The 23,638-nt window shown below is 33.1% G+C and overlaps 1 protein-coding gene and 1 long non-coding RNA gene across 17 annotated transcripts in view; one reads left to right on the forward strand and one right to left on the reverse strand.

The window, feature by feature from the left end:
* EPHA6 (EPH receptor A6) overlaps positions 1 to 23,638 on the forward strand; it is a 946,939-nt gene that overhangs the window by 482,906 nt on the left and 440,395 nt on the right. The window contains exon 6 of one of the 12 annotated variants that reach the window (XR_924126.3): positions 12,760 to 12,951. The exons of the other annotated variants lie outside the window; for them this stretch is intronic. The gene's annotated coding sequence lies outside the window, so the exon portion shown is untranslated. The remainder of the gene's footprint in view (positions 1 to 12,759; positions 12,952 to 23,638) is intronic. 12 annotated transcript variants of the gene reach the window in all.
* Positions 3,570 to 23,638, reverse strand: part of LOC101929278 (uncharacterized) — a 114,015-nt gene continuing 93,946 nt past the window's right edge. For 4 of the 5 annotated variants that reach the window (XR_007095968.1, XR_007095967.1, XR_007095966.1 and 1 more), the window contains 2 exons: positions 19,358 to 19,452; positions 3,570 to 3,657 (listed from right to left, as the gene is read on the reverse strand). This is a non-coding gene — a long non-coding RNA (uncharacterized LOC101929278). Of the gene's footprint in view, positions 3,658 to 5,994; positions 6,070 to 19,357; positions 19,453 to 23,638 lie in introns of all 5 variants that reach the window. The other variant, XR_924236.3, reaches the window with a different exon arrangement.

Here is a 23,638-nt window from a genome sequence, read left to right on the forward strand (position 1 = left end):
TTATGGTGATTGTGTAAAACTCATGGAGTTTACATGCTTTACAACAATCCGTGTAGTATTAATATGAAGGTCCCAGAAGGTAGAAAGTAACAATAAAGTTGGTTTTTCTAGAAAAATAGTAGTAAAGTCCATATCTCAAGATGGATTAACTATAAAGCATTATATATGGCATACTATATCTTGACATGGGAATGATATGTTGAAGAATTCATGTTTCTTGCACCCTCTTCAACATCTTAATAAATGACTTGGATTATTATTTTATTTATTTTTTATTTTTTTGAGACAGAGTCTCGCTCTGTTGCCCAGGCTGGAGTGCAGTTGCATGATCTTGGCTCACTGCAACCTCCACTGCCCCAGTTCAAGTGATTCTCCTGCTTCAGCCTCCTGAGTAGCTGGGACTACAGGCATACACCACCATACCCAGCTAATTTTTGTATTTTTAGTAGAGACAGGGTTTCACCATGTTGGTCAGAATGGTCTCGATCTCTTGACCTCATGGTCTGCCCACCTCATCCTCCCAAAGTGCTGGGATTACAGGCATGAACCACCGTGCCTGGGTGGGTTATTATTTTAAAGAAATTTTAAATACTACTAAATTTTTACTCCTTTTCCAAATCCTTTGATAGATTTTTAAATCAAACGCAATGCCAAATTTGCCTTATGTAAGAGTTTAATGTTGTACCAAAACATGATATTTCCATTCCTGTTATTGTCTGATGTATTTTCCCCAGAATGGGAATTTCAAACCTAGAGATGAGTGAGTTTCAATAAAGCTTTCTGGTTAATTTCCATAAGAAATGACAGAGTTAGAACTTCTACACGTCCATCTCAGTGTGGCTATGATTGCACTTTTCCCCAAGCATATGCATGTGTTAGATAACAATGATTACTAGGCCAAAGGAATCATAGCATTTCGTTTCACTCTTAGATGCCTGTTTCTAGGACATGGGGACAACTTAGTAAATAATTAATTACAGTGTGACAGCTACTCCCTTACTTGACAATTACTTTTAAAAAAGGAACTATACTCCTGGATCCTTCTTTAAATAGTTTTCTTAAACTTAAGCCACCTAAATTGTCTATAATGTGATAGGAATGCATGATTCAATCTTAATTACCAAATATATAAGACAGAAGAAAATTTTCTGTTAATCCTAAAAAAAAGAAATATTATTTAGTTATTATTTCTTATTTAGTGTATTGTTTAGTAATAAATGTAACCATTATTCACAATAATTCACACACATATATATTGAAAGGTTTTTAGATTGATTTTCTTCTAAAAAAAATTCCAATCTCTACCAAATCACCATAAATAAAAGTGTAACCACTGAAATATATTGTCTAAATGTCAAGAAAGAAAATAATCATTAATCTACTCCTAATAAATATATAGGATATGATTAGGAATTTGAAATTAAAATTCTAACTTTATCAAATTCTTCTTTAACTTGAAAAAATCATTGCATTTTTCCCACTAGATTTTCTGATTTTGAAGTGATTATATTCATTTATTTAATATGCATTTTTAAAACACTGCCAGTTGATGATCTTATAAATTTTTTCTCAATGTTTACAAAATAGAATGTTTCTGGATTTATAATGATATAGTCTACCAAACTTCAGTTTCTCTTAAAATTGAACTCCTTTTGGCTGGACGGTTTTGCACTGATGATCAGGATGTGTGTGTGTGTGTGTGTGTGTGTGTGTAGGGGGGAGTGTGTGTGTGTGTGTGTAGTGGGGAGTGTGTGTGTGTGTCATAATTTTTAGACCCCATCATTTTCCTATGTAAGGAATATATGGCCATATGAGAGCATATTTCTTAATCATTTAGGTAAACTATTCCTTTCAAAACTCAGGTAAGATAAAAATTAATTTAGGTTGACACCAGATGCTCCAAGGATTAAAGAGCATCGCTTTGCCTAAAACTGGCCCAAAAGGAAATAAATGTGGGAGAGTTTGCTTTCTTTTAAGTTGGAAAGATTTTTTCATGTTTCCAAGCTTCCTAGAAGTTCTGAAGCAGCTATTTGAGAGGAATAGATGAGTATCTTTCTTATTGTTGTTTATTTTTATGTGTAAGGAAGTTTTAAGAACACTGAATGTCCATCAGCATTAGAGTCATTATAAAGAGAAGATGACGTCCATGATGTAGAATATATTTGTAAGATTTGATGATTTTGCTACAAAATTATGCCTATGATTTAATTTTGTTAGTTAAAAAGGAAGTGTATTTCAGGGAATTTGTTTTCTTCTTATAAATTGACAAATCATATGTAAGTTCCTTGAAACCCAGGATAAAAATTGTAAATTAACTCTTCTTAGGTTGTGCCTCAGTTGGTAAGGAAAGCTTTAATTCAACATATTTCACAAGGAAGGCATGACCTTTAGAGAATAGGGTGGTTTAACTGAACCTACTGAATAATAGATTGCATACCGTTGTTTAATTTATTTGCCACCTGTTTCATTCTTATAGTATAATAGGAAAATTAGGATTCCTTCACCACATATGAAACATTTTATACTCTGAATGTTCAAAGGAATATCTCAAATCAGATGAAATCTCAAGAGTTGAAATTAAGGATTAACAAGTGTTCATAACTTTCAAGAAGATTAGATATAAATTCCATGTTAGATATTTTCCTTTACCATTCTCTTTATTATAGTCGCCTTTTATCACAAAAATCTAAACTGAATGGAGAAAAGTCATGCCAAGAATTGCTCAGATCTTCAGTTGTCTTAAAAACAGTAAAAAAAAATTACTTCAATACTTGAAGTTACGTTTTATCTGTCTCAATTAAAAGCCACTGTGCACTTCAATGATAATTGTAATTTTGAATGAAAACAAGAACATCTGTTGGTATCCAGGGTAAAGGACAGTATCTTTGTCAGATATTACTCTTGACTTTTTTGTAAGACAGTGCTCATACCCCACCCCAGTCACTCAAAGTGCACCCACCATACAGATAACTATTTTCACTTTTTCCACAAAGCATGACACATTTTCACACACAAATGTAGTAGGCAGTGGATCAACCTTGGTAAATTATGGACATGTTTGTGATGATATGTCAAATAAATGGGAGGCATATGACTAGAGCTTTTGCTACCTCATTTTGCAGTTCTAAATACCAGGAGACCTCTAGTCCCATCCTAGAATCAGATGTATTCTGTGAGATGCACTCGGGCATATTTGGATTCACCTGGCCTATCAAAGGGACAGGGGTCAGGGCAAGAAGTCCAATATACTTGCAACTAGTTTAGAATTGAGAGCTATAGGATAGCAGGCTCGAAGCATGACCTTACACGTTCAAGTCATAACAAAAGGAAATTTAAAAAAAAAAAGTAGTAGTTCTATCTCTGCAAATTTATCCTGGCATTTAGGATTTGCCTCATGAGATTCTCAGTAACACTGCATCCTGTGAGAGTCCTGAAATGATATGCTCCCTCTCATTAAGCTGCACAGAAAACACAGTGCTTCTTGCAGCAGGTGACCTCCAGCCATCCTGATCAATGCCCGTGAGTGAAACTATCTGCCCAGCCTTTGATATTCTCATTTTCAGCTTCTGTTGATCCAAATAGTAGTCCTAGGAACAGTCTTCAGTCCTGGCAATGATCACTTGTGTATCTTCTCCCATTACTTTGAGGTTATCTGATCTTGGCAGGGTATTTAAAAAAGAGAGAATGAGAAATGCTAGGTAGGAAGCACATTTTAACTTCAAATATTTTCCATTTTCTCTACTTATTCCACAATCCAGAATGTTTTTCCCTGCTATTTGTCAAATTGTCTTCTAGAATTTACTGAAGGATCACTATGAATTCAGCATGCTGACTAAGCAGATTTAAGTATTACCTCTTTGATCCTTTTTACCTATTTAATATTATTCAATTCATTTAACAAACACATAGTTCTTACTATGTATCAGGCAGTACTCAAATTGGTTTACCAATATAGACTCATTTATTCTCACAATAGAACTATGAAATAATTATTTTTCTCAAGTTAGTGATAAGGAAATTGAGGCAGATAAAGAATAAATAGCTTGTCTATCATGTTCAAACAGCTTATAAGTATTGGAACTAGGTTTCAAACCCAGGCCATCAGGCTCCTAGACTATTCTGTTAGCCATTTGATCCAGTGCTCTTATACTGTGCCATAATCTGGCAGTTTTCTCACATATTTCTCCTTGCTACTCAGGACATGACCAACAAATATTAATTAAATTAAAGCTTTTATATGAATATCTTTATTTAGACTATTAACTAGTTCACTTAAAAACTTGGCCAAAATAAATGCTACATTTTGATTAATGTTTAACTTATAATTATATAATGAATCTGTTTTTTTCTATAATACTTATAGATCACTCACCCGTATATTGAGCAACACATAGCTTATTTTAATCATATTTGAAGCCGCATCACCTAGCAGAGAAAGGGCTTAGAATGTATAATAAAGGCTTGTGGTAGCAATGAATATCTAGTAACTTGTGTATGCGTAGTACTCTTTTACTACCAATTTTGACTTCTGTTTGCCAGTTAATGTACTTTAAAAGAAAATTGTTGACTACATTTCTTGCTTTCATGTTTATGTTGAAATTTGATGTGGTTGTTGAACTCACATACATCAAACTTCTGCCAAGTTAAAATCATATTCCCTTTCTCTACAGTATTTCAGAATAAGGGCTATTGATAATTTGGGCTGTTTTTCTCAATTGCATATACAATTTAATTATTCTTTAGGCAAAAAGAGAATTTAGTATGATGGTTTTCTTTTATTTTTAAATCTGTTTTATTCTGCACAAAGTAGTTTGAAAGTAGGAAAATGAACTGCTCTTGTCATAATAAAATACTAAAAATAAAGAGTAAAACTTGTTCCTAAACCACTGTATATTATTTTTGTCCATAGAGATTTTCCTAAAGCCTGATGTCATTACACAGAGATTTTGTTAGGCAATGATACTTTTAACCTCAGGTGTTTTTTTTTTTTAATTTATTATTATTATTATTTTTTTGTCACAGTCAAAAGTGACAGCTACCCTTAAGTGGTATATATTGTCTTTGCATAGGAAAACACCATATCAGGTGCCTTATTACATTAATGATAAGTGCAAATGTTTAAAAAATAAATTGTCAGAAATGCAATAACACTGTTTACCTCTCTAATATTTCTGGTTGGTAGACAGTTTGATCTTTGCCTGGAAAGTTAAAGGCACAGCAAGACTTATTACCTTATTTTCAGATAATATTTTATCTTTCCCACTGAAAAAAGGATAATTCCTTAATTGTAATATTCTAGAATTTTCTATATTCAATGGAAATATTTCTCATTTTGGTATAAATTATACTATGCAGTTAGAAAAATTAAGCAATTCACTCAGTATAGCTTTTTTCTGCTATATGACCAAATTTATATAGTCAGCCTTTCTAGGAATAAGGCAATAAGTTGTTATTTTTATGTGATAAAAATAATGACTTCCATATAACTTAATGTTGAGGTAAATGGAATATTCACTCAAGTAATGAAACCAAGGAATGAAGAGAGATTTAATTATTAGTGAAATTACCTGCAAAACACTAAAGAAAACTCTTCTAATTTTAAAAAGTGTTAGACAACTCTAAAAAGTAGAATCATTTCATACTGAAACAGTTATAAAAAGATAATTTCAATGATTTTAATGTTAGAAAGATACATATTATAAATATAGAGTCTTAATGCAATCTTAATCCACATCCAAAGCAAACATTATTTAAAATATGACAAAAATGTGAAATCTCTCTGGAATAATATAAGGACAAAAAAAATAAGCTAAAAGAATTTTGAGAAGGGAAGGATTTAAGGAAAAACTCAGCATTTCAGTTTTCCTGAGAAATTCAAACAAGGTGTTAAATAGTGTATTAGTCCGAGTTTTCCAGACATAACAAACAGTAGAGCAAGACCGAGCAAGAGAGAGAGAGAGAGAATTTATGAATTAATTAGGGAACTTGGCTTACACAATTATGGAGGTTGAGAAGTCCCACGACAGGCTGTCTACAAGCTGGACACCTTGGGATGCTGGTAGCACCTTTCTGGTACCAAAATATGTATTGGTACCAGCATAGAGAAATAGAAAGATTACAGAGAGAAACACAGAAATAATTTAAAACAGGGCGAACATATATGAGAATTTCAAGTATGATAAAGGTGACCTTTCAATTTATTGAGTGAAAGATGAGTTATTTTATATATTGTGGTAACTGGGGAGCCATTTAAAAAAATAAATTTGGATTCATAAGACACAGCTTTTCCCAGACAAAATTACAAATAAATCAAGGTTTAAAATTTTCAGAAAATATAAGACCACTTTTACGATATTGATTCTTCCTATCCATGAGCATGGAATGTTTTTGCATTTGTTTATGTCCTCTCTTATTTCCTTGAGCAGTGATTTATAGCTCTTCTTGAAGAGGCCCTTCACTTCCCTTGTTAGCTGTATTCCTAGGTATTTTACTGTCTTTGTAGCAGTTGTGAATGGGAGTTCATTTATGATTTGGCTCTCTGCTTGTCTATTGTTGGTGTATACAAATGCTTGTGATTTTTCCACATTGATTTTGTATCCTGAGACTTTGCTGAAGTTTCTTATCAGCTTAAGGAGCTTTTGGGCTGAGACAATGGGGTTTTCTAGACATAGGATAATGTCATCTGCAAACAGAGACAGTTTTGACTTCCTCTCTTCCTATTTGAATACCCTTTATCTCTTTATCTTGCCTGATTGCTGTGGCCAGAACTTCCAATACTATATTGAATAAGAGTAGTGAGAAAGGGCATCCTTGTCTTGTGCCAGTTTTCAAGGAAAGGGGCAATGCTATTCCCATTAAATTACCATTGATGTTCTTCACAAAATTAGGAAAACTACTTTAAAATTCATATGGAACCAAAAAAGAGCTCATATAGCCAAGAAAATCCTAAGCAAAAGAACAAAGCTGGAGGCATCACATTTTCCAACTTCAAACTATACTACAAGGCTACAGTAACCAGAACAGCATGGTACTGGCACAAAAACAAAAACATAGACCAATGGAACAGAATAGAGATCTCAGAAATAAGACCACACATCTATAGCCATCTGATCTTTGATAAACCTGACAAAAACAAGCAATGGGAAAAGGATTCCCTATTTAATAAATAGTGCTGGGAAAACTGCCTATCGATATGCACAAAATTGAAATTGGACCCCTTCCTTACGCCTTATACAAAAATTAACTCAAGATGGATTACAGACTTAAATGTAAAACCTAAAAAAGCCCCAGAAGAAAATGTAGGCAATACCATTCAGGACATAGGCACAGGCAAAGATTTCATGACAGAAACAACAAAAGCAATTGCAACAAAAGCAAAAATTGACAAATGGGGTCCAATTAAACTAAAGAGCTTCTGCACAGAAAAAGAAACTATCATCAGAGTGAACAGAAAGGCTATAGAATGGGAGAAAATTTTTGCAATCTATCCATCTGACAAAGTTCTAATATTTAGAATCTAAAAGGAACTTAAATTTACAAGAAATAAACAACCCCATTAAAAGTGGGCAAAAGACATGAACAGATACTTCTCAAAAGAAGACATTTATCTGGCCAACAAACATCTGAATAAAAGCTCAACATCACTGATCATTACAGAAATGCAGATCCAAACCACAATGAGATACCATCTCATGCCAGTCAGCATGGTGATTATTAAAAAGTCAAGAAAAAACATGCTGGTGAGGCTGTGGAGAAATAGGAACAGTTTTACACTGTTGGTAGGAATGTAAATTAGTTCAACTATTGTGGCAATTCCTCAAAGACCTAGAACCAGAAATACCACTTGACCCAGCAATCCCATTACTGGATATATATCCAAAGGAATATAAATTATTCTATTATAAAGATACATGCACATGTATGTTCATTACAGCGCTATTCACAATAGCAGTGACATGAAATCAACCCAAATGCCCATCAATGATAGACTGGATAAAGAAAATGTGGTACGTATACACCATGGAATACTATGCAGCCATAAAAAGGAATGATAACATGTCCTTTGCAAGGACATAGATGGAGCTGGAAGCCTTTATCCTCAGCAAACTAACACAACAACAGAAAACCAAACACTACATGTTCTCCCTTATAAGTGAGAGCTGAACAATGAGAACACATGGACACAGGGAGGGGAACAACACACACTGGGCCTGTCAGTGGGGATGGGGGGAGCGAGAGCATTAAAATAAATAGCTAATGCCTGTGGGGTTTAATACCTAGGTGATGGGTTGATAGGTACAGCAAACCATCATGGAACACATTTACCTATGTAACAAACCTGCACGTCCTGCACATGTATCCTAGAACTTAAAATTAAATTAAATTTTAAAATTTTCAGAAAATAAAACTGTAAAATTGCCATAAGAAATAAAGGGAAAATATTTTAAATTGTACATAAGCCAACACAAGCAAAGTTTAAAGGCAAAGATAAACTAAAATATAGATGATATAGGTATAAGGGAATATATGGACATACAATGATATATATGAGACTCAGAAAATAAAAAGGCTAAAATTTCCCTAAAATCTGAAAAGGTTTTAAGAATCAAGGAAAATAGACATTCATGCATTGCTGATGGCAATGTGAATTGATAACAACTTCGTAGGTTGGTACCTATCCCTCTATCATGTGTAGGAAGGATACATACAGAAAGACAGTCAAACACATTTATATAAATTATCAGTGCATTGTTTGAAGAGGGGAAACAATGTAATCAACTATGTCAGGGCCCTCTTTTTTTTTTTTTTTTTTTTAAAGTGTTCCTCTTATCTATTGAAATTACCTGAGCATTCTCCACTTGACGGTTTTCTCTCCAGACCTGCCCTTAAGGCACAATACAAGTACTAGGGCATTAGCACTCTGGGAAGACCCCAGCAGGGAGAAATGGAAGTGTGAGGATAGCATCCCCAGCTTCCTAACCTCAGCAGTCAGTGGTCTCTAACACACCCTGTTCTGATTTCCTTCCCCTTCCTCTTACTTTCCCATAACCTTGCAGGGTCCCTCCCAGTGAACCACAGAAACAAGAGTCCTTGTCTAGGTATCTGCTTCTCAGGAAACACAACATAAAATGCTGGATGTACAGGAAACAAGCAAGAGAGAAGTTTCTCACAGTAGTTTCTGTTCCTTTCAATTTCAAATATATTACTATTAAAAATTCAAATATCGCATGCTAGGAATTGGTTTATAGGACTAGGCACATTAATATCCTGAGCTCTAGGAACTACCTTTTGGAATTTGGGCATCCCCCTAAAATACGGCCTACCAGTTATGTAAAAAAAATTTTTTTTGAAGTAGGTTATTTCCACAAATGACTCATTTGTCACCTACATTTTTTTTTTTTTTACATGTTAGAGAAGACTTATCCTTCAGCTTTGAGGTCAAATTTTGCTGTTACCTTATGTATTGATTTTATTTCCCTCCCTGTATTTTGTAAATAAAATGTTGGTGACAGTTGCCTAATCTAACATCAAATTGAGCTATGAAGTATTTGTTATAAATTTATTCTAGTAGCCAAGCTCATCTAATTAACTCTTTCTCTGCATATTCCTAACAATGCATTTTATTTTAGAAATATCTGGTTATATCTAGTTATTTAAGGACCTATGGCTTCTGCACATCTTTTCACTACCAGTTTGGATGCCATTTTCCTCATCCCCGCCCACTCTTCTAGAGATAAGTCAATTTAAACTTCAGGGACTTCACAAGGTCTCAATTGATGAAATTCCATACAATAGAGCTGGGGTCAGATGCCCCAGATTCAAATTCTAATCTCACCACTAGTAAGTGGCCTGTAAAACACTGTGCACAAATGTAACCTGAACGTGCCTCAGAGAGTCATAGTATTAACTATGAGGAAGATGATGATAATGAGAATGTGTCATTGGGCTATTTTTATCATGTGTTGTACATGTCAGATTCCCCATCAGAATATAATACATAAATTTACCTGTACTTAGCTGTCATATGAGCTCTGACAGAACTGAGATACGTATTTTAGTTTTAGTTTGGAGATGCCAGGAAATACTAGTTTTGTCTTTACATTTTGTTGCCTTTTTTTTTTTCTTTAAAGGTGATGTCTACTCTTAGAGTCAGATTTATGGCACTTTTTCTGTATTTAAGATGAATCTCCATATCTTCAATAATTTTGTTTCATTTGAAAATATAGTCTGTGTGTTTCAGACAAAAAAAAATATATATATACACCACATGGGTAGTGTTAAATGGCATGCTTGAATTTTACATCTGTGAAATTCTACTAATTCCACTAATTATTTTATTCTACATTTCAAACTATCTCTCTCTACCAAGTTTCAAACTGAGATTTTCAACTGCACATGCTAATCTATATTTATCATAGACAACATAAACTCAGCATTTCCAAAATTTTACTCAAGATAGTCTCTTCTTCTCTCCCATCAACCTTTTTTTTTGTGTTCCTTTCATATCCTTTTTCTATGTTGCTGTCAATACTATACACACAGCCCTCAACCTGGGATCTATCTTTAACTCCTTATATTCATTAATGCTTCCAAAAACTCATCAGTCGTCACCTCTTGATGATTTTACAAATTGTGTTTTAAATTATGTCCCTGGCTTTCCCTTTTCTAATTCCACTAATTTCCTTAACTCAAGCCATGATTATTTCTCATCTGTATGATTATAGTAATCGGCTATAATCCCATTTTCCATTGTTACTCATCTCTCCCCAAACTGCCTTGGTGAAATTATAATCCTGTAATCATATTCTTTAAAATCTCTCCGTAGGGAACCCACCACCTATAAAAGAAAGATTGGAGTACTCAACATAGCAAGCAAGTTTCTCTGAAATTTTGCCTTTCTATCTCTGTAGACAAATCCTAATGTTCTTCCATTCCTTCTACTTTACAAATTAGTACTACTGAGTAAATTTGTAGCTACTTCTAGCACTATGCTGTTGTTGTCAATTCACATATCTATTCTCTTTGTGCAGAATTTCTTTCACCATCTTATCCCTCTATTAACTCCTAATTATCTTTCAAAAATCCAACTGAAGTTTAACATCTGTGATATCTTCATTGTTCCACACAGAAAAATAAAATGAATACTCCCTCTCTGTACTCTGCAACAGAAACTTCATATGCTAACCTCTGCTACAGAATTTATTTCGCTATTTTATCACTGGTAGTTTGAATGTCTAACAAACCTACTGTAATATTAGTAAGTTATAGATAGCAATTATTCATTATTTGAGCACTACATTCTACCCGAGTATGGCACATCATGTGCACTCAATGAATAATTCTTAATCTGAACTGAACTGTAAACCACAGTACTTTGACTCCTTCAGACCCATGAGGTCAGACACAACTTTCAGTGAAATAAATCACAGCATATGTGAGTTTAAATCACTATATAAAAGTATATCTCACTTATCCTCTTGATATTTTGCTTTTGTTATTTTCTACAGGAGAATTAAAAACAAAACAACTGCATAATAACAAAGACAACATATCCTTGAATGATTGATTTATGGATGTGGTCTTTATTTTGTATATGCTTTCTAAATTCAGTTCAGAAATTATAAAGAAAGCAAGATGTAAAATTTTAGTCAACTTATAAAATGTATTGTAAAACAATTTTTAATATTATTTCTAACACAGTCTGACTATTTTATGTGTTATAGACACATAAAAATAACATTTAAAGTTATTTTTCCCCCAACACTGTCTTAATTTATTGGAAAGAACACTGGACAATTTACTGTTTACTTGTCCATTAAAACCAGTGCAAGGCACTCTTAGTTTCCCAATCATTTAATTGGTATGATATTGTACAAGAAATTTTTAATGATTCAAATTTAGTAATAGACATTAAAATAATTGGATACCTCCAAAACTAAATATCAACTATTTAGTAATATGTGTTAAGCATTTAAATATAAATGAGGAAGTATAAAACTCTAATATGAAAATGGCTTATTATACTTAGAAAATATTTTTATAACAGAAATCAAATAGTTAACTATATACTGATAATAGTTACTGAATTAATTTAAAAATTGGTAGTTTACTGGTAACATATTTAAGTACTACTTACATCTTTAATTATCTTTTTTATTTCTTTATTCCCGAAGCTACTCCACTAATTAGAAGATACATTTTAGTATAATTTCTGTAATACTCAGTGTAAGTACTCAGAAAAAAGTATAATCAGCAAATACATTTTGACAGAATGAGACCCTGGGGAAAATGTCTAATAAAATTTATGATGAACAAACAAAATGTTTTTAGTAACCACCTTTGTAATTTAAAAACAATAAAACAAAATTAGAAGATGAGCATTTTTCAAAGTTGTTGACTTAACTGTTTACAGTAACCACTATAAGTCACTGAATTACTTTATAATAACTTTGAACTATCAAATAATAACTAACAATAATATTGTGAAGTTTCACGAATACATCTGTGAACACTATTATTTATCCTAAAGATTCATTAATAAATCTTTAGAAAACAGGTTGATTATATAACTCTTTTGGTTAAAAGACTTCCGTGGCCTTTTTCAAAATAAAGCCAAAATCTTTATCCCTCACTCCCACCCCCACAACTCCTCTCTTTCTACATTTTCAATACTATATTGGTTAGAAGTGTTTGTATTGCAAATGTCAGAAAAACCCAACTCAAATAAGTTTATTCAATAAAAGAAATACTTTCTTACAGAGGATTTGCTGGCAGGCAATGGGTGTTGTGAAAGACGTTACTGAACACACATCAACTTGGAAAAGCCATTTCAATTTGGAAAAGGCAGCCTCTACGGACCACTGAGAACCACTAAAATATTTGGGAAAGAGACTGAGATGAAAATGAATTTCATGAAGTATACCTGAGTCTCGAATAATGGGGAAGCTCAATGTAAGCATGATTGATTTTCACCTGTGGGGTATTTGAGAACAACATGTATGATTTTGATCTTCATTATTGCCCTCAAAATTGATGCTCAAAAATATGATTATAGGCAAAAAAAAAAGAGTCTGGTCACACTACCTTGGTTGTTACTGCTAGTGGTGGTAAATTTGAAGTCAGTTATCTCAAATGAGAGAAAGAGCATTGACATACCCTTCCAGCTTAAACATAGTAAGTCCTCAACAAGTGCTGATCCTCAGATGAATTTTTAATGGATCCTCTCTCAACTAGATTATAACTTAAATTATTGGCATCTAAAGTGTCCGTCAAGTGTTTTAAATATATAAATTATTCCATAAATATTAACTGTTTGTTATTCCTTGAAATAGCTTAAGCAACGAATCTGCCAAACTCTTTGAGATTCATTTGTATGGTACAATGAAGATTACAAAAATCCATGTTCTTTGTACAGCTAACCCTGATATCTTTCTTGTAAAGTATCCACTTCCTAACACACAAACAGTAGGTACCTAGCTATCCTTTCCCACCTGGAGACAGCTTGATCAACCTGATGAGTAACATAGAAGGAGAGGTGGTATTAGGTGCCATGGGACTAGCTGCCTTCCCAATTCTGGTAAGTTAGTGTTTTTTGCAAGTCTGGATGCTGAAGTGCCAAAACTTGAAAAATATTTCCTCTATTTCTCTTCTCCATGCTGAAACATGGAAGTATTGATGTTACATAAAGTCTATTTCTTGAAGACAGGAACTCTTGCAACCTAAAACACTTTTCTCTTGGATAAAGGTGTTAAAATGGATGAATCTAAGCAAAATTTCAAATACATCTTTGAAGTTCTGTCATTATCCTGTTACATTCCCTCTCTAACCTTGTTTGTAGTTCCTCAAGCTCTAGCTGTTGTCTCTGGCTGCCCTAATCTCTCTAAAGACTTGACCATACACAGCCTCTTGCACTCTGAACCAAATCATCATTTGGATTACACTTTCACACACACACACACACACACACACACACACACGTTTGCTCTGGGTCAATATTTTGATTTGTTTTTTGTATGCAGATATCAAGTTGCTCCAGCACCATTTACCTTTTCTTTCCCTTTTTGAATTGCATTGGCAACTTCAAAGAAATTTAAAAATTCAAATGACTGGATTGTATTTAGAATCTATTGTATTCCATTGATTCGTTTATCTTTCCTCATTCAATACCACACTGACTTTATTACTGTGGCTTTATTATAAGTTTTGAAATCCAAAGGAATATTTCTACAATCTTGGTTCTTCTTTTTGAGATCTGTTTGGCTATTCCAAGTCCTTTACAATTTTTTATTTGTCTTAGAGTAAGATTTTCAAAACAAAACAAAATATATTGTTCAAAACAAAACAATAATAAACAAAACAGCAAAAGAAACACCCACTAGAATTTTGAATGAGAATACACCGGATTTATAACTCAATTTAGGGAGAATTAATATCTCAACAATATTTAGTCTTCCAATCACTATAGTTCATTTCTCCACATACTTAGAGTGTAATTTTTCTTAGCAATGTTTTGTATATTTAATGTTGAGATCTCACTCATTTTTATTTGTTTCTACCTAATGATTCCATTATTTCATTTCCAATTCTTTGTTGCTAGCATATAGAAATACAACAGATTTTTGCACATGAACCTTGTATCCTTCAACTTTACTAGATTCATTTATAAATTCTAAAATGTATAAGATCCTTTTATTTTTTCCCGTGTACACAATTATTCCATCTGCAAATAAAGATGGGTATATATCTTCCTTTCTAATTTTATGCCTTATTATTTTCATGACCTATTATACCAACTAGGACCTCCAATAAAATAGAGAACAGATGTAGTGATAGTGGACATCCATGCTATAGTCCTGATTTGCGTGGAGTGGAGAACACGATTAAGTATGATACAGGTTGAGCATTTTTAATCTGAAAATCTAAAATCCAAAATTCAAAACTGTTTGAGTTCCAACATAATCCTCAAAGAAAATGCACTGGAACATTTTGGATTTCAGGTTTTTCATATTAGGGATGTTCAACCAGTTAAGTATCTGCAAATATTTCAAAATCTAAAGAAGTCTGAAATCCAAAACACTTCTGGTCCCAATCATTTTGGATAAGGGATAATCAATCTATATACATATTTTATACGTATCCTTTATCAAATTGGATTGAAGAAGTTTCCTCCTATGCATAGTTTTTTTTTAAATAAATGGAGTGGGATTTTATCCATTTCTTTTTCTGCATTTATTGATATAATTATACAAGTTTTTTTTTCTCTAATATTCTGTGGTCACATTTTTTTTGCTTTTTGAATCCTAACCTGGCATTTCTGATTTTTGAATGTTAAACCAACATTTTATTTCAGGAAGAAACTCCCAGTTAGTTGTGATAAGTAACAAATCCATCATCTCACCAACTTATTTCCTTTGTAGTGAGAATATTAAAAATCTATTATTTTAGCAATGTTTACATATACATTATTATTAACTGTGGTCACTATGCTTAATAATAGATTACTAAGGTTTATCTTGCCAGTCTGTGTGAAACTTTGTACCCTCTGATCAACATCTCTTACTTCCCTGTCCTTCCCTGTCTCCCCTCAGCTACTGGTTACCAACTTTCTACTCTCTATTTCGATGAGATCAATATTTTTACATTTTACATATAAGTGAGATTATATGGTATTTGTGTTTCTTTGTCTGGCTTATTTCACTTAGTTTAATGCCCTCCAGTTCTAATTATCTTCTTTTTAAGGCTATATAGTATTCCATTGTATATATACCACATTTTCTTTATCCATTCATCTGTTGATGGATATTTAGGTTCCTTCCATATCCTGGTTATTATGAATAATGCTGAAATGAACATGGGAGTGCAGACACCTCTTCATCAAACAGATTTCAGTTCCTTTGGATATATGCTCAGAAGTGGGATTGTTGGGGTAATTCTACTTTTAGGTTTTGAGGAACCTCCATAGTATTTTCTAATATACCCGTACTAATTTTCATTCCCACAAACATTGTACAAGGGTTCCTTTTTTCCACATCTTTGCCAACACTTGTTATCTTTAGTCTGCTTTTGATACTAACCATTTTAACAGGTGTGAGGTGATATCTCTTTGTGACTTTAATTTGCATTAATTTGGCAATTAGAGGTTTTGAGCATTTTTCATGTATCTTGGACATTTGTATGTCTTCTTTTGAGAAATGCCTGTTGAAATCCTTTGCTCATTTTAAAATTGTTTGTTTTCTTGCTTTTGAGTTGATACGTTCCTTATAATATTTTGACTATTAGCCCCTTAACAGAGGTATTCTTTGCAAATATTTTCTTCTAATCACTGGATTGTCTCTTCACTCTATTCGTTATTTCCTTTGCTGTGCAGAAAAAGCTTTTCAGTAGGATGAAATCCAACTTGCCTATTTCTTGCTTTTGTTGCTCATGCTTTTGGAGTCCTATTCAAGAAATCATTGCCCAGACCAATGTCATGGAGCTTTCTTCCTATGTTTTCTTCTAATACCATTAGTTTCAGGTCTTACATGTAAGTCTTTTATCCAGTTTGAGTTGAGTTTTTATATAATGTTAGTAAGGGTTCAGTTTCATTCTAATGCATGTAAATATCCAGTTTGCCAACACCATTTATTGAAGAGACTGTCCTTTCTCCATTGTGTATTCTTGGCACCTTTGTCAAAAATTAATTGACCGTAAACATGGTGTTTATTTCTGGGCTTTCTATTCTTTCCTATTGGCCAGTGTATCATTTTTATGCCAGTACCTTGCTGTTTTGATTACAGTAGCTTTATAATCAGGGAGTGCAGTGTTTTCAGCTTTGTTCTTTTTGCTTAGGATTGCTTTGGCTATTTGGAGTCTCTTCTGGATCCATATGAGTTTTAAGATGCTACTTTTGTCTAACTAGGAGTATTGTATGAAAGTTGGGGAATGTTAGAATTCAGTAATTGAGAAGAATAATCAAACTCACTAGAAACCATTCTAAGGATTATAATCAATGTCTTAGATTTTCAGCAAGGGATTTTTCATGCTGAAATTTACTTCTTGGTTTAGGGTATCTAAAAGCTGAATAGCTGAAACCACCAGCATCCACTAAAAATCTTCATTCTGAATCACAATCTCAAATACAAGACAGGTAACATTTTTATAAGCAAGAGAATAAATTCTAAAATGTTTATAAAAAGTTGATGGGAAGAAACAAATTAAGTAGAAGAAAGAAATCAAGTAGACATTAGGGAAGCAGAAGGAGTAGGAAGGAAGATAGAAGTTAAGTTGAAGATGGTCAAAATTAGATAATGAAAGGTTGATGAGAACAGTTTGGAACCCTAGCCTAAACTTATTGACACATACTAGTCATCAATATCACACATATCATATATGCCAAGTCTTCAAATCACTATCACCAGCTGCATCTTTATCTAGCAAGAGGTGTTTCATTGGCAGCACAGAACAAAATACGTCATAGATACAAAGCATTCTACAACGATGAAAATCACCACTTCAAAAGTCAGAGTGTTTTCAACTTCTGGTTGAACACTTACTGTAGTAGAAATAAATAAATCAGTATGGATCAGCCTGGCTGTATTTTAAGAAAAAAAAGTTCTCTCTGCAGAAGATTGCAAATATAGGGATAAATTATAATTCCAATGATCTTTTACTAGTGTTGTGGATGAAATCTTATAGATGCAGATATTTTAAAAACAATATAGGTTGCCATCTAAGAAACTGACACCTAGATATAGCACACTATCCACTTTCCACATCACTTTTTTACAGTTTAAAATTAGGGATCACGAGAAATAAAGTTTGTGTAAAGGAACAGAAAAGACTGCACAGCAATATGCCTGTTGAATTTAATTGTTTCGCATAAAGTCGTGGCATAACAACATAAAATACAATTATACACTTAAATTTCTTGCCCCTCCCTAATAAGATGACTTTTAAATATCTTCACGGATCTCAGAAAAAGAAGTGTGAATAGTGAGTGTGGCCCACTCTGTCATAAAACTTGTCTATGAAGAGAAAGGATGATAGACAAGGGGAAGAAGTAGAATCAAATAATTTGAAATATAGGAGGCATGTTATTTAGATATAATTTAGCAAACTTTCATTTACACGTGATGTTTCTTAAAAGTGGCTTTGAAAACTGGGGGAAAAGGAGAAATTTTTAGTGAAATTTTCTTATTGGTGTAAAGTCATATGCACAGAGCTATTCAAAACATAAAAAAGCTTCAGTATATAATTACACCATTTAATTCTTTAACAAGTCTATGAAATGTTTGTTATTACCATTTCACAGATTTGGAAACTGAGGTTCACACACTGGAAAGTGCAAGAGCCAGTATTTAACTCAGATCTTCTTATTTCACACACTGTGTTCTTCACACCATCATGTGCACCTTTCTATAAGTTTGTATAGAATTTCAAAACAAACTGCAATCAAAATGCTATCCCATAAAGCTATCTTTCATTAAAGTCAGGCCTGTTAGAGCTGTGTCTACGTAAAAAGGCTTATGGAAATTTATTTGCTCAAACATATAGCTAATGGGTTGTATGTAATTAATGATTCTCAAACATTATTTAGAACCCTTAAATTATTGTGTCATATTAAATGATTTTAAAATGAAATAATAATGCAACAATTGACTAAGTTTTATCAAATATATTTCCCTCAAGATATGGGAGAATATGAGCTGTCTTCCTAGCTAGCTATTTCACTTAAACCAAAACAGACAGATCAAGAATTACACAATAATTGGACCAAAATCACTGTAGGCTTGCTGAAGAAAAAATAATAATATTGGCAATTGGCAACTTTTATTTTAGACAATTAAATAAAAAGTCTTAAGATGAAAACACTCTCTGATTAGATGTGCTCATATGCATTACATTGTGACCCCTGCCCAGGAACACCAATCAAGAAGATGAAATAAATAGTGTTCCACATGCAAGGAGAAACCTCACAGAGAAGGCATCTTTCCAGGGATTGCTGCGTTTTCTGAAGTGTCATGTGTTATTTATTCTGATGATCCCCTTAAGAGCATAGTGTTATAATCCATACCCTGATGCTATAAAACGTGTTTGATGATTCAGATTCAAGTATATAAATATTGGAATGACCTAGCAAATTTATGTCATTTATTTTTAGATTCAGGTTTCTTTACTTACATCAGAACTATTGACATTTTTCAGCTAAAATGCCAACTCTAATGTGAAATCAACTTTGTTTCTAGTTTGATTTTACAAGTAGTTTTATGTTAACAATTGGATAAATACCAGAAAAATGAGAATTTCCCAAACATTTTGGGAAGTAATCAGTAAAGCTTTCATTAAAGTAAAAATATTAATAATCTAAACAGTTTCTTACTGGATTCCAAAAGTCAAGAAGAGCCCAGATGTTGTTAATTAGCTGTATGATCTTGGAAAATTTTGTAAACTTTTTGGCCCTCAGTTGTTTCATCTCTGAAATGAAAGATATTAATAAATAAATTTTAAAAAGATAATATTTACCTATGTACTAACTCTTTGACTCAATATGCTTTTAATTAACTTAATACAATACCAAGTTATAATTACTTAAAACAACACATATATGTCTTTTCAACTTGAATAGTACTTATTGTTGCCATCTCAGGATTGGAAGAGAAAAAAAAAAAGAAAATGTGATGATGGAAAGGCCAACTGTGTCACTGTCAGCCCTGTTATGGTTTTCTGCAGGAAAAGTATATCTCCCAAAAGAAGATCAACAAAATCCATGATGTCAATGGTTGGAACTACTGAAGATGACTAGTATTGCAGCACTTTCCTCTCATTCAGTTCTTCTAAGAGTTCAATGATAAGAGATACTACATAACTATAAGTTCTCTTTTGCCCTGATGTGTAACCCAACCACAGGGATGTTTTAATAAACTACAAAAAAAGTGTTTAATTTTAATTCCATGGCAAACACTATTTTAAACTCATTGTTATCATGGTAGTCATGATAATAGAGTAACAAAATTTATCCTGGAAGTTATAGTTTTATGATTGTTTTCCCATTTCCTTTTTTGTTTCGATATACCCTTCAGATTGGACTGATAGTAGATTGTTTTACAAACTTGTAACTTTGGGCTATTTTTATAATCATCATTATGCATGGAGTTTTTTTTTAATTTGTGACTTCGTGAAACTAAATTCTATAATGATCTTAGCTATTGCTAATGCACAGTCTGACATTCATCCAAAGAATCCTTCAGGACCTATAGTGGGAGATGAGATAATTAAGCATAGAAATTTCTGGGTCTTCTGTGGTTTCTAGAACTGCATGGTGCTGGGCATTCCCAGTGCACAAGGAGACAGGTACAGGGCAACATGGAATCCCAAAGAGCAATTCACACAGAAGCTGGAGAAGAACTGTTGGTTATAAGGAGTGTTAAGTGGAAAGGGGACTAGAGGATTACATTTGCTTTGCCAGTGGGGAGACTTAAATTGAGCATTTTCAGAAAGTTTTTCTGAAAATTACTTCTTCCTGCATGCAAAGGACCTAAGAGCCAGAGTACTAGGTTTCAGTGTATGGATACATAATTGAGAATTTAGAAACAATTAGGAGCTCAGGTCTGTTTGGGAGAAATACATAAATCTATAGAGGGATCACAGGCTGTAACTGAAACACAATTAAGCCATCATGAAACATTTTAACGTTAAAGTCCAGAATCATTTTAAAACTGAAAACGTAAAGATGACAACTATAGGAGGACATGTGACCTGGAATTGGAAGACTCCTAAAAAACCTAACCAGAAATCTTCACTGATGAAGAATTTGAAGTTTAGATCATTTAAAGAACTTGCTTAAAATCATCTAGCAATGTAAAAGCAGAGATCCAGCTAAATATTCTCCTAATGTCTCAGTTGTTCTAGTTGGAACTTAGCCTCTGGTGCCCACCTATCGAACTCTGTGTTTCTTTTCACACTTGGTGTTCTTGAACAAGTAGATTTTAATCACTGTTACCAGTTCTTGAAGATATTCTGGCTTCTCATCTTCTCAGGCAACTGAAACTCTTCTTGTTAAGGTCTCCTATTACCACTCTTTTGCTAATTTAATATATATTTTTCAGTTACTACCTTATTTGACCATGCTGCATGAAACAAAAATCTAATTTAAAAGGAATGATGTGCACAGCAGAGTCTGGATTTCTCACATCCTCCTTAATTCTCTGAACTCACTATTTCTTTATTAAAGAATAAAGAAATATTCTTTATGATAACATGAGCTGTCCATGGTATTATATAAATATTATAACTAACAGATGGCTTTAAAGTTAACCAGCAAAATTGAGTAACTATAATCCTTTGATAAAATATCACAGTTTTGATAACTTCAGTGGTTTCTTTCAAGTGAACATTTATTGAGATTCCTTCTATTTATTGTTATTTATGCAAGTTATTTATGTAAAAAAAAATGAACAACATTCCAATAGTAGAATTTGTTTCTCAAGAATAATAAATAGAAAAGGGAAGTGACTTCAGTAAGTTGTATGATTTCAAACTTGACAAAATTAAATGATCCAAGGTTGATGTCAATCTGTTCCTTTATATTGAGAGTTCTTAGAGAAATTCTCTTACGACATCACTTGTACTTTTATCATGAGAGACACTTCCATATATATAATTTATTCATTTTTTGCTTCAGTTTAAAACCATTTATCTAGTTGTGTCTTCTGTGAAAGAAGAGAATGGCTCAATTCTTTCCTTACAGTAAAATTTTAGTTCAATGGTAATTTTAAGATAATTCTAATTTTTAATATTTAATCATTTCAGTATTTTAGACCTTTTCAGCATTGACATGGCATTGTTTTTCCTTTCAAATGTGGAATCAAAAATTGTGTATACTACCTTACTTTTTAAAAGACCGAAAAAATATCTGGCACAGTGGCTCATGCCTGTAATCCCAGCACTTTGGGAGGCTGAGGTGGGCGGAGCATTTGAGGTCAGGAGTTCGAGACCAGCCTGACCAACATGGTGAAAACCCATCTCTACTAAAAATGCAAAAAAATTAGCCAGATATGGTGGCCCACATCTGTAATCCCAACTACTTGGAAGGCTGAGGCAGGAGAGTCGCTTGAACCCAGGAAGCAGAGGTTGCAGTGAGCCCAGATTGCCTCACTGCACTCCAGCCTGGGCGACAGAGCGAGATTGTCTCAAAAAAAAAAAAACAAAAAACAAAAAAAAAACAACACCAAAAAACAAAACAAAACGAAAAAAACAGGAAAAATATATAAAGCCTCCATTTTTTCTTAATATTACTGAAAGTATTTCTATATCCCGAGCTAGTCTAAAGTAAAGTATATCTTTTAGGTAAAATTAATGACACAATTAAAACTTTTAAATACTGAGTACAAAGTGCAACTCTACTAGTTATGTCATAACTGTAGGGGTAGTTTTAGAATTCAGACAAGCAGTTAGTTATCTGAAAATGTTTGATATCTGTGGAACATCAATGCATTTCACAAAATCTCACTTTAAAAACTCTCTCTAAAATCAAGAATTAAAGACCTGCTTCGTTCTCTCCTCACCCTCTTTCTTTATCTATTTCTTCTTCTCTGTTTTCAATATTCTCTTTCAGTATTGGCATAGGTTTACAATCTTAACCACACACTGTCAGTATCTATTACTCTCAGTATATAAAATTTTATCTTATTTTAGCCAGAGAACACAGAAATAGACAGTTAGTATAACACAATAAATTTTTATTAGTGAACTAATTCTCCAGGCTAAGACTGGGATATTGTTAAGGTTTTCTACCTTCCATGACATCCTGCTATGCTATAAACAGATGCATTTTAAGGAATGAAAAATTTATATGTTTATTTTTTTTTTCCTTTCTGTGTGGTAAAACCTTATTTTTATAAAATAAAAGGCAAATCATGAAGAAATGTAATTGGGGGTCTGAAATACACCAGATGACTAACCTCATGGCAAATCTTTTCTGAATGCTCTGGAGTGGAGTAAAGGTTCAAACTTTTTTCTTGAGAGAGGGAATGAGGAATATGATAGCTGCAGAGAAACATGTTATCATTTCCCTTCCTCCTTCCACAGAGAAATAAAAGGTCTCCTCATCCAAATCATGTTTTAGACTGCATAGGTCCCCAAGACTTATGTTTGTGGGAGGTGTGGAAGAGGATCCAGCACAGTCTGTGATTCTGCTGAGGTATAGCAGAAAATTGGGATAGGCAGAGAAATGACACTCCTTTGGACCAAAGTGATGCTTCTTATTTTCTGGCATTAGAAACCTGTTTCTGACCTTGATGGGGCAGCTTATTTACTACATCGTTCTGTGTTCTCTGGGGGCAAAAAATAAAAAAAATAAAAAAAAAGGGATGAATTTAATTACATCCTAATTACATCCTTGTCAAGAGGTAATTCCATCTCAAAAATTAATTTTCAGTGCTTTGGAGTTATTGCACATTAAAAAATATTGTCACACAAAAAACATGGGTGGCCTGTCACAAACATTATGAAACTATTGACCTTACATAGCTTCATCTGCACAACTATTGATTTTTTTCTGTCTTTATTTTGACCTTTCATATGATTTCATCTAAGATTCATCACGGTGGAAATGTCAGGTTTAAGGGTATGCTTTTATTGTTTGGGGAGAGCAATCTTGGAA

This window comes from Homo sapiens, chromosome 3, assembly GCF_000001405.40.
Source record: "Homo sapiens chromosome 3, GRCh38.p14 Primary Assembly".
In the NCBI taxonomy this organism is placed as follows: Eukaryota; Metazoa; Chordata; class Mammalia; order Primates; family Hominidae; genus Homo; species Homo sapiens.